Source organism: Homo sapiens, chromosome 8 (assembly GCF_000001405.40).
Source record: "Homo sapiens chromosome 8, GRCh38.p14 Primary Assembly".
NCBI lineage: Eukaryota > Metazoa > Chordata > Mammalia > Primates > Hominidae > Homo > Homo sapiens.
Window position 1 is genome coordinate 117010610 of NC_000008.11, and position 12672 is coordinate 117023281.

Below are 12672 nucleotides of genomic sequence, written 5' to 3' on the forward strand. Positions count from 1 at the left end.
ACGTCACTGTATTAGTTTGTTCTCGCACTGCTATAATGAAATGCCTGAGACTGGGTAATTTACAAAGAAAAGAGGGTTCATTGGCTCACATTTCTGTGGGTTGTAAAGGAAGCATAATGGCTTCTGCTTCTGGGGAGGCCCCGGGAAGCTTCCAATCATGGTGGAAAGTGGAAGGCAAACAGGCACATCTTATATGGCACAGCAAGAGCAAAAGAGAGATGGGGGAAGTGCTGTACACTTTTAAACAACCAGCTCTTGTGAGAACTCTGTCACAAGAACAACACCAGGCGGATGGTGCTAAACCATTAGAAACTGCCCCCGTGATCCAATCACCTTCCACCAGGCCCCACCTCCAGCACCGGAGATTACAGTTTGACATGAGATTTGTGCAGAGCCACAGATCCAAACCTTATCAGTCGTATATCTGGGTGTGCCACAGTTTCTTCAAATTCTATTCTACTACGCTAAACTCTTATCTACTTCATCCTCAGGCTACAGCCCGAGAGAACGAGGGTAACTCATAGGGAGAAATAGCCATAAGAACAGGAGCAAGAAAGAGAAGGGCAGTGGGGGAAGGGGATGCAGATTTTTGATGACATGGAGGAGCCCCTGAAACCAGATCCTCCCCTGGACTTTGCAGTATGTGAACCAACTCTCTTTTTGACCAGGTGGTTTTAACTGGGTTTATGTCACTTGTAATCAGGAGTCTTGACCAACGTTTCATTTTTCAGGTTGTGTCCTCTTTGCCTGAATGAAACTTATCATTTTAGTCTGCCCTCTTATTGCGAAGTTCCTTGAAATGCCAAATAGCTCGTTTGTGAAACTCGTAAGGTAAACTTGCAATGGAGTAGATAGTTTCCAAATTAAACACTTCTACCCTGTTCTATACCAACTCCTGCACCTGAGACAGAGAGAAGCCTAGAGAGAGCTGACAGCAGAAGTCACTTTTTGCCAGCCTCAAGGCTCTAGACTTGTTAATTTAGAGTTCGTGGTGGACCCTCTGTAATTTTGCACTATCCTTGGGCACTGCCAAAAATATAGCATTCAATTTTATTGTGCAAAAAGAAGCCAGGGGTGATGTTGGACCTCTTTGGGAAAAAGAAAATACTCAATCCTCCAAAACTTCTTAAAGTTTAATGGCATTTTGTTACATATTAATAATCATCTAATGGCAAATAACTTTTAACTACTCAATAAAACATAAGCAGGACTACTACGTGAGAAATATTTTGGAAGCTTCCAGTTTATGAAAATGTTAAGACAGTTATTTCAAAAGACCATGAGTAATGTGAATTTTATTAATTCAGAAGATTTTCTCATTCCATGCACTTGTTTCACAGTGGGTAAGTTTTACTCTTTGTAACATAATTCATACTGATTTCGAGCTCCTTGAGGATAGAAATTTTGTGTACTTAGCTTACTTTGAAAAGAACCCAGAATAATTCCAGATTGCTTTCTCCTCTGAACTTTTGTATTAGTTGCTCATTCAAAAGTTGAGCAACTAATTAGTTGCTCACATAAAACTCATTTTGTATTTAGCATATGCTGTTTGGAGTTTTAACTTTTTTTAAAATTTGAAGAGTATATACAAAATTAAAGATAGGTAAACAATACAGAGTTCCTTTCCTGAAAGTTCTTTTACTTCTTATTTTTAATGTGTACATTTTCTTTTGTTCAATGTTTTCTGTCAGTGTTATGCCATTTTAATGATAGCTAATTACAGTATTTTAGCAGTTAATCTTCCTAATTTAATTTTCTAATTCCAGACTTCCCAGTGAAGTCAACCAGTTGTGGATTGAAAATATTAAAAAAAAAATGTGTCCCTACTGAACACATACAGACTTTTGTCATGTCATTATTACCCATACAATACAGTATGACAACTATTTACATAGCGTTTACATTGTATTAGGTATTGTGTATAATCTAGAGATGATTTAAAGAGCACAGTAGGATGTGTGTAGGTTATATGCAAATACTATGCCATTTTATATCAGGAGTGTCCTCTGGAGTTCCTGGAGCCAATCCCCAAGGATACAGAAGGACGACTGTATATAAGTGTGTGTGTGTGTGCATGTGTGTGTGTGTGTTGTGCATGTACATAGACATATGTATACACACACACACACACACACACACACACACACACACGGTGGATCCTCAAATAGATTGTAGGCCTTTGAAGGCAGTCAGCATATATTTCTTATAATCTTATAATACTCTAGAGCCAATCATAATGCTTTTGCACTTCAGAGAAACTCAGTAAACAGTGTTTTAATTATAGTGGTCATGACAACAGTGTATCATCTGACAGCTCTAAGAAAAAGATCTAATAATTCACTATTGGCATGACTGCCTCATTCTAATGGGGCTACTTTTGATGAAAGAGCAAGCAGACCCTGGCATTTCCTCTGGCTTTCTCTGCAACTATTAATATTTCTTATACTTTCTTGGAGATTCATTACTACCTGTGTCAGGAGAGGTATAGCTTTGAGAATTCAATTGTGTGAAGAATGTTAGCAAAATGGATTTGTATTCCTTCAGCTCAAGGGTAGAAATGTCAAGAAATTTGGAAGATAAGAGGGAGTAGAGGCATGGACAATGAGGCACAAGGAAAAGCATAAGAATGTTTCTTTGCCATTTTAGCATTCATCTTTTTGTGAATTTTGCTTTCTGTATACAGCTCACCTTCCTCTGTTATCTGTCTCTACTGCATGATTCCTTCTCATTCCCACATTTGAAAGAGTTGTAGAAGGTAACAAGTATTTAATAACAAAAGACTGGGAATACAAGGACTGAGCAGCAGAGATGTTCAGTGGGAAATGTTATCAAATCATCTAGGCACCCCTTTTGAGCAGCACCTAGCATTGCTCTAGGGTAGATAAAAGAAGAAAATGTGGAAGTAAAAAAGAAAATAAAATATTAATATTCATTCATTTTTTTCTCAGTAAATTCTCTTGTCCACAATGTGTCAGGTATATTAGCACCTTACAGCTTAAAAATGACAACCATATATATACCTGGACTTGGTGGTGTCAAGCTTTGGGATGAAGATGGAAATCCTTCTTATGGGAGTCTAAAGGGGCCAAAGAATTATCTAGGAGGGACAGAGGTGAAGGAATGAAGAGTGTTTTCTTTCAAGTCCATTTTAATCCCTCTTTTTAACTTTGCTTTCCTATTTAACTTCATTTTTTTCTTAAAGATTTTAGTTTTACATAGAGATGTTTAAAAACAAAGCCTCTCTGTAGGTCATGTGAGAATATATTAATCATTATCAGTCATTTTTTTCAATGATAGCACATTTAAGGATAAATTGTTAGCCATTAAATTCATGAAATCCTTCACCCTTAATACAGAATCTTTAACTTAGAATATTTTTGAAAAAAGTGTGAAACAGACTATCAATATGTTTTCATTTAGCTCTTGGTGAACTTGGCATTGCTGTTTTATTTGGTTGGTGCAATAGTATTTGCAGTTTTTGCCACTGCGTTTAATGGCAAAACCGCAATTACTTTTGCACCAACCTAATATAGGGGCACATGAATGCTGAAGATGAGGGGATCAGTAATGATTCTGAAAAGGTGGTCAGATCCCGACTCACAAATAAATATTCCCATTAGTAACTCACTGGGGTTTCTTTTCAAGTGTTATCATATTAGCCTTTGGCTGCTGAACAGTCCTTCTTAGTTTCCAGAATGTGGCTGAGAGTAACAAGGGTGTAACAAATGAAGTCTTTACAAAGAATGAGCCTATCATCTTTGAGGAAATTCTCAATGGGTTGGCCAAGGAAAGAGAATGGCTGATGAGTCTGTGGTGGTGAGTCCCTATACCTTGATTCTATTCCTTCAATTGCCATGAGTTAGCTGTTTAAACATGATGCTAGTCATGCAAATATGCTGAGCATATTTAGATCTGAAAAATATAGGATGGTCTTTTTAGGTCCCTTTTGGACTTAAGGTAAATCAAGTGTGTGAGAGGATAGGTTGCAAAACAAGTACGTAGTGTTACTGAAATGGATCCAGTTTTAACTTACTGATGTCTTATCTCAGTTCCTTTCTCAGGGAACTGATCATCAGGCCTTCTGGCAAATATCAGAGAGCTGAGGCTTTCTATTGATAGGTCACTGCCCCTGGGAAATGAGATGCACCTACTGCCTGTTGTCCAACTCCCTTTTCTTACCCTTCCTCAGTTCCCTGCTATATAAACCCCTAACTTTAGTCTGTGGGAGAGGGATGGATTTGAGGTTTGTCTTCTGTCTCTCTGGCTGATGTCACATGAATAAAACCTTCTTCTCTGCTAATATCTGTTGTCTCAGTAATTGGCTTTGCGTGCAGCAAGCAAAGGGACCTAGACCGAACCCCTGGCATTTGGTAACATCACAACTATATATCTATATATATTACAAATATATATATATATAGATATACCGAGAGCTGAAACCAGAATTTGGGATGAAGGTGGAAATTCTTTTTAGAGGCTGTTGAAAGGACAAGATGTTGGTGAGGGGAGCTTATAGGAAACTGCGTGGCACAAACAAGAGGATTAAGGATCTTTCTATCAACCATAAAACTTCTTAAAAGTTCCCCGCTATCTGACTTTCTTTATATGTTCTACACCACATAGAGATTTAGGACAAAAAACCATGTATCATTATTCCAAGGAAAATACGATGCCAGTCACCTTACAATGAAACTTAGCAAACAGCCCATTCTTATAGTTTCCCTCTGCTCAGACACACAAACACATACACCTGTGCTTTGTTTACTCTTATTTTCTGCTGTTCATTTTTCTCCATGGTCCATTCCAAGATAAAGGTCCTTTGAAGGTGGAAAAAAATATCTGGTTCATCTTTGTCTTCTTAAAGCTGCATTTCCTAAAGTGGGTCCAATGGGAAACATTACAGTAATAAATTAGATGCTATTATGCACCCCCCCCCCCCAAAAAAAAGAGGGCGAGGGAGGGCTTTGTGTCAAACCTGTTTGTGAAACAAGAAGGGGACATAGAATACAGGGTTTTCTGCACAGAACGCTTTCCCACCCACCTTTTTTTTCTGGAGGGGAGCATTTTTCCTCATGACATCTGTCTTAGGATCAGTGTTTGTTGGGACTCACTTTGTGACACAGGCCTAAAGTAGGAAACTTTGTAGTAAGCAGAAAATAATAAATATAGCAGATGACTCTAAGCCATATGTTTTTCTCTTCAAATGATCCTAATTGGTGTTATGCTTTATTTCACTGGTGTTTTACAACCTGGTACATTGGGGAGAGCCACAGGGTCATTTATTGAACATTCAGAACAATGGGCAGAAGTACTTGTTGAGTAGGTTAACTTCTGCCACAAATGACAGGTGTGTCTAATGGTTTGGGAGAAGGGGAAGGAGAAGCAGCAATGGAATGCGCTTGAATAAGAAGGAACAAGAGCAAACGTTGGTAAGAGAGAAGGGGGATAATACCGGGCATAAGGTTACTTTCAGCCAGGTGAATCAGTCCTGGAGAGGTCACCTAGGCTGTCTGTTTAGACCAGGCAGAAGAAACTAGAAATCCAGAAATCCAAAAACTGGGATATTGAAGGGAAAAAGGGATAGGTTCCCAGGAAAGTAGTTTGTGGAAGCTAGGTGTTGTTTTAACCTTGCGCACAGAAAATGCTCAGTAAATAGCCTTTGAAAAATGGACACCAATGGATAATAGAAGTCGATATTGAATCAAAGAGTTTTTGAGTTAGGTGGTTTCAAACATTCTTTCTGCTGAGGATCAGATATAATGTCAGACTATAGTTGGGCTGGGCACTGCAGAAAGAGGAAAATCAAGTTAACGAAACTGAGCAGGAAAAGACAGGGGCAAAGAACAAGGCAGCTATCAACTCCAGGCTGAGGTGCCAAATAAATACATCTCTCTCAAGTCTCTCATTTCTCCTGTTGAAATGCACGCTAACAGCTGCTAGTTTAGTATCCACTTTGGGTTCCCTGTTTAGTCACTGAAAACAAATACTGTCATCATTTCAGCAGAGAATATCTGTAGATAGCACATATTTTATATATATTTACATAGCAAGTTTACAGCTAACAAAAGATTGCTCTGATGAATATACAAGGAGAGAGATTAAAATGTACAAATATGCTTAGAGCTTAAGAGAAAACATTTACCTCATTTTCTTCCTGTCATGAGGGTAGACGCTTAAGACAGCATGAAAAATAGTGATTCTTTCTCCATTTATTCTGAAGCTTTCTCCATTGTTATGATGATACTGCCATTCACATTTTAAACAGATTTTTAAAAGATCTATATTTCTAATTCACGTTATGTTATATTCATCTAGCATGCTCACAACAAGATAAAGCTAATAAAATCAGGGAAGATCGTCGAGGTTTAAGGTATAGTAAGGTGGTTAAGAGAGTTAGAGTGCCTGGGTTTGTATCCTGGCTCTGATGCTTGATACTGTGTGACCTTGGGTAAGTCACTTTACTTTCTGTGCCCCAGTTATTTAATTTGTAAAAGGGGGGAAATAGTGTCTCATTTATAGGGTTATTTAGAGATTAAATTAGTTAATATATGTGAGGCACTAGAACTGTACCAGGCACAAAGTAAATGCAACAGAGTACTAATGTTGGCTATTGCTGCTGTTATTAATATTATTATTAAAGATCATAGTTACAGGGCCCAGTGGCTGAGGGTGGATTTGTGGTTTTCTCTTGTGTTCTAATATCAACCTGCTCTCAAGCACTTTGCTTCAGTTTCTGAAGTTGCCAAATAATATTAGAATACAAGGTTTCTTCATCCCTGTACTTAAATTTTATCTCAGTTGCAACAGCATTTCATTTCTGTATTTTCTATGTTTGTAGTGCTTTCTCTCAGTCAAAATATTTGCTAAACACTTACTCTCTGTCTGGCATAGTTTTTGGCCCAATAGAAGCAAGGCACCAGCCAACACCAAAGTCAAATTGACGTGGAGCCACAGTGAAGAGGATGTGAAAGGGCCCTGCACTTGTGGAATTGACACTAGTTCAGGCAGGTGGAGAATAAGTAAGGAAAGAAGCGAATACAACAATTTCAGAATACCTGTGAAGAAAATGAGGCATTATATGAGAGTGACTAAATGAGGCAGAGAAATTTAACTTTTATTGGCTGCCCAGGCCATGGAAGACCTTGCTGAGAAGATTCTGGGTTGGAGGAGAAGATTCAGAAGAGATGAATTTCTTTTTATTAATGAGTTCATTTAGGATGATGGCTTTCTGCCCAACAGGGAAGTTATCTAGACTCGTCCTGTCCCATAGAAATAAAATGTGAGCCACTTATATAATTTTGAGGTTTCTTGTAACCATATTTGAAAAGTTAGTAGAGCTGGGCATGGTGGCATCTGCCTGTAGTCCCAAATACTTACTGGGGAGGCTAAAGTGGGAGGATCTTTCCAGTCCAGGCATTCTGGGCTATAGTGCACTATGCTGATTGGGGTCCACACTAAGTTTGGCATCAATATGGTGACCTCCCTGGGAACAGAAAACCACCAGGTTGCCTAAAGAGGGATGAACTGGCCCAGGTCAGAAACAGAGTAGGTCAAAACTCCTATACTGAACAGCAGTGGAGTTGCACCTGTGTATAGCCACTGCATTCCAGCCTCAGCAACGTAGTGAGACCTTGTCTCTTATAAATAAATACATACATACATACATACATACATAAAATTGTAAAAGGTAAGAAGAATTAGTTTTAATAATATATTTTAACATAATATATCAAAAATATTATTTCAACATGTAATATGAAAAATCATTGAGCTATTTTATATTCTTCTTTTTTTTACTAAGTCTTCAAAATCCATAATGTCTTTGATGCTTATTCAGCACATCTCAATTGGACTTACCACATTTCAAATGCTCAGCAGCCACAGGGGGTTGGCGCCACCATGTTTGGATAGCACCACTGCCTTGATAGCACTGCTGTGTTGGATAGCACCACTGTGTTGGATAGCTACACTGTGTTGCATAGCACTGTTGCGTTTGATAGTGTTGGCCTAGACCACAGGTTGAAAACTGCGGCCTGTGGGCCAAATCTGACTAGCCCCCCCCCCCCTTTTTTTTTTTGATGGAGTCTTGTTCTGTTGCCCAGGCTGGAGTGCAGTGGTGCAATGTTGGCTCACTGCAACCTCCGCCTCCTGGGTTCAAGCGATTCTCCTGCCTTAGCCTCCCTGGGACTACAGGGGCCTGCCACCACGCCTAGCTAATTTTTTGTATTTTTAGTAGAGATGCGGTTTTTCACCATGTTGGCCAGGCTGGTCTTGAACTCCTGACCTCAGGTGATCTACCCACCTCGGCCTCCCAAAGTGTTGGGATTACAGGCGTGAGCCACTGCGCCCAGCCCACCTCTTGTTTCATATGAACTACCAGCTAAGCATTTTTTAAAAAATTTTTAACATGGTTAAATTTTAAATGGTCATATAAGTACCAAAAGTAGTCTTGGTTTCATCTTAAAATTTAAAATATTTAGTCTCTGGCCCTTTAAGAAAAAGTTTTCAGACTCTCTATTGAGATTATCACAACAATCCCCACAGAGACTGTGAGGTCCCAGAAACAGGACCCATCTTACTCCATGTTATATCCTGAGTATTCAGCACAAGGCCTGGCAATAGCTGAAGCTCAACGCATTTTTAAAAACTGAATCAATGTATATAACAATGTAAACTAGTGCTCACAGTTATGGAATTACTTTTAGAGCAACAGATGTTTACTCCTCGTGATCATTCTGTCACAATTTCATACAAAAATAAAGGCAGTTTCTAATTTTGAGCACTTTCCTTATCATTTCCCCTGCCTCAAATTTCACACATTGATTCTACATTGCCTAATTAAGAGCCATTCCTCAATGCTCCCTCTATTGTTTCATTTGTCCTATTACAAGAGGGCAACAGAGTTCAGTTTCATAACTCCCAGTTCTTTAAACACACATTTGTCTTAAACAATGATTTCATCATTTGTTGTTTAATGTTCCTTTCTCCTTCCTTCTTGAGGGCAAGAAATGGATCTATTTTGGTCGCAGTAGTAATCCCAGCACCTAGCTCAGGGACTGGAACACGGAGGCTGTGCTGTATTGAAAAGAATGTTTGAAAACATGCTAAAGTCTATGAAATGGGCTCTTGGGATGGTGTGTTGGAAGAATGTTCTAGACAGAGGAAACAATGCAAGCAAAGGCATTGAGGAGCAGTGATACAGGAAAATTAAGATTTGTTTTGAGAACTGCAAATAGTTGGTATGGCTGGAATGTTGAGGGCATGGCAGGGGAGAGTGTAGCAAGTGAGGCCCTGGATTGCAATAGGTCCAGCACACATCTTCAAAGAACATGTAGGACAACAACACTTTCAGATTTTATTCTGAAGGCTAAGAGCTTAAGTACTTAAGAGTAGCCAGGCAGGTAAGAAAAGGCACAGCTGAGCACAGGATGATAGAACGCAATTGCCTGTCCGCCTCAGTGCAGGGCTCAGTCATAGGAGGAGAGGACTCTGTTGAAAGGGGAGGATTTGCAGCCAGTTGTTGCAACTTAGCTTCCAACAGATGAGAAAATAAATTCTTCTTCAACACATGGAGCTTGTGTAAAATTAGCCCTACATTTGGCTACAAAGAAAATTTATTTAAATAATTTTTAAATAAATGGAAATTTTATAGGCCCATTCTACAATGAAAAGCCAATAAAATGATAAATAATAGAAAGACAAATATAAACTAAATTAACTATCGTTTTATTCATGAAATTGGCAAACATTGAAATTATGGTAATGTTAAATATTGTCAAGGGTAGGAGGAAGAAATTATATCTCACTGTGTTGGTGAAAATGTGAATTATTACAAACTGTCTGGAAAGTAATCTGGTACTAATTATTAAAGTTAAACATATACATAGTTCTTGACCTAGCAGTCTTATTCAGGAGAATCTAGTTCTTACAAATAAAAATCCAAATAATTAAGTATATATGCAGAAGAATATTTAGTGCACCATTGCTGTGAAAAAAAGAACAGGAAAATGGTGAATGGGGAATTGTTGAATAAATTCTGGTACATCTATATAAAATTGGATATACAGCTATTTTATAAAGAATGAACAGTATCTTTATCTTTATTTTTTGACTTGGAGAGATATTGGTATTGTATTGTAAGAAAAGCAAGACACTGATAAGAAGATGTAAAATTATCTCATTCTTGAATATCAAACAACGTTATGACCCTTCTCTCTTTATAAATATCTGTAGATGTTTTTATATGACTATAAAAACCTAAAGAAAAGAGTGGAATAATAAGCGATAGACTTAATAGACCCTTAAATCTGGACTGCAGTGGTATTCGTCGGAATGGAAAAGAAGATGGAGAAAAGGGAGAGAAGTAAAATTTTAGAAAGACTTTAAAAAGAGGGTCAATGAGAAAAAGTAGAATGTATGATGGTGTCATTCCTGGGTGGTGAGATTTTAGTTGCCTGTTTTTTATGGTCCAAGGGCTAATAATGATTGTCATATTTTTAAACAGTTACCTTTTAAATGGTTATATAGGTACCTAGTGTAATAGCCTTGATTTTTTTCCTCTTGGTCCTCAAAGCCTACAGTTGTTACCATGTAGAGCTTTTCAAAAAGGTTTGCTGCCTTCTGATCTCTTTAAACTTTTGAGGATTCCTACTTGTACTTTGAAAACAATATGAGGTAAATAGATAACACAACTTTTCTCTATTATTTAGTGACTTTGTTTGAGGTCACCTCAATTTCTTTTTAATATTTTTGTTCTTTTCTTCTAAATGCACCTTGTTTTCTTAAAATGTCCTTCTAGAGGATCTGCTGTAGTATCCTCCAACCAGCCACAGTGTCCTCTACAAAAACAAAAACTGCAAGATTTTATTGAAGGAGATTAAAGAATACCTAAATATGTAGAGGAAAACCATGCTGATGGATTAGAGGATCCTATAATGTAAAGATGTCTTTTCTCAGCACATTCATCCACATTTTCAAGGCAGCGTCAGCAAAAACCCAAGCAGGTTTTAAAAATTGCTATTTTTTTGTGTGAAAATTTACAAGCTGATTCTAAAATCTGCATGGATTTGCAAAAGGTCAAGAAAATCCAAGGGAATCTCAAGGAAGAACAAAGCTGCAGGGTTTACACAACCATATATCAAGACATGTATTATACAACAATAATCATTAAAACAGTGTGGTATTGGTTCAAAGACACACAAGTTAATCAACAGAACAGAATAGGAGAGCCCAGAAGTAAACCCACACAGATGTAGACACTCAATTTATGACGGAAGGGCTGCTGCAGAGTAATGGGGAAACATGACCTTTTTAAAGAATGATATCAGGTCAATTGGATAGTCATATGGGAGAAAAAAATGAATCTTGATACTAGATAAATTGTTGTGCAAATGTAAAAGTTTAAAAAGGTAAGTTCCTTCTCTACTAAAAATACAAAAAAATTAGCCGGGCATAGTGGCCGGCACCTGTAGTCCCAGCTACTCGGGAGGCTGGGGCAGGAGAATCGCTTGAACCCAGGAGGCGGAGCTTGCAGTGAGCCGAGATAGCGCCACTGCTGTCCGGCCTGGGCAAAAGAGCAAGACTCCGTCTCAAAAAAAAAAAAAGAAAACAAGTTAAGTTCCTATAAGAAAATAGATATATGATCTTGAGATGGATAAAATTTTTTTAAACAGGTCAAAAAACACTAACCATCAGGGGAAGATTGATGATTGAACTGTATTTACATTAGGATCTTCCTTTTTTTATGTTAGGTACATGAAGATGAATTAGGGATAATACATGCTGGATTCAAATGGCAGAACAGGCAAAAAAGAGGTCTGGTATGAATGACCTTTAGTGTCCCTCTTATAAACCAGAGATCACTACTGGATTCAATGATAAATTAGAAGGAGACAATCTCATACTGGTACCAAAACAGAGATATAGACCAATGGAACAGAGCAGAGCCCTCAGAAATAATGCTGCATATCTACAACCATCTGATCTTTGACAAACCTGACAAAAACAAGAAATGGGGAAATGATTCCCTTTTTAATAAATGGTGCTGGGAAAACTGGCTAGCCATATGTAGAAAGCAGAAACTGGATCCCTTCCTTACACTTTATACAAAAATTAATTCAAGATGGATCAAAGACTTAAATGTTAGACCTAAAACCATAAAAACCCTAGAAGAAAACCTAGGCAATACCATTCAGGACATAGGCATGGGCAAGGACTTCATGTCTAAAACACCAAAAGCAATGGCAACAAAAGCCAAAATTGACAAATGGGATCTAATTAAACTAAAGAGCTTCTGCACAGCAAAAGAGACTACCATCAGATGAATAGGCAACCTATAGAATGGGAGAAAATTTTTGCAACCTTCTCATCTGACAAAGGGCTAATATCCAGAATCTACAATGAACTCCAACAAATTTACAAGAAAAAAAACAACCCCATCAACAAGTGGGTGAAGGATATGAACAGATACTTCTCAAAAGAAGACATTTATGCAGCCAAAAGACACATGAAAAAATGTTCATCATTGGCCATCAGAGAAATGCAAATAAAAACCACAATGAGATACCATCTCACACCAGTTAGAATGGCTATCATTAAAAAGTCAGGAAACAACAGGTGCTGGAGAGGATGTGGAGAAAGAGGAACACTTTTACACTGTTGGTGGGACTGTAA

At 38.0% G+C, this 12672-nt stretch overlaps 1 protein-coding gene and 1 pseudogene across 4 annotated transcripts in view; both read left to right on the plus strand.

The window, feature by feature from the left end:
* Positions 1 to 12672, plus strand: part of SLC30A8 (solute carrier family 30 member 8) — a 226498-nt gene that overhangs the window by 60393 nt on the left and 153433 nt on the right. The window lies entirely within an intron of this gene.
* Positions 7337 to 7639, plus strand: RN7SL228P (RNA, 7SL, cytoplasmic 228, pseudogene; annotated as a pseudogene).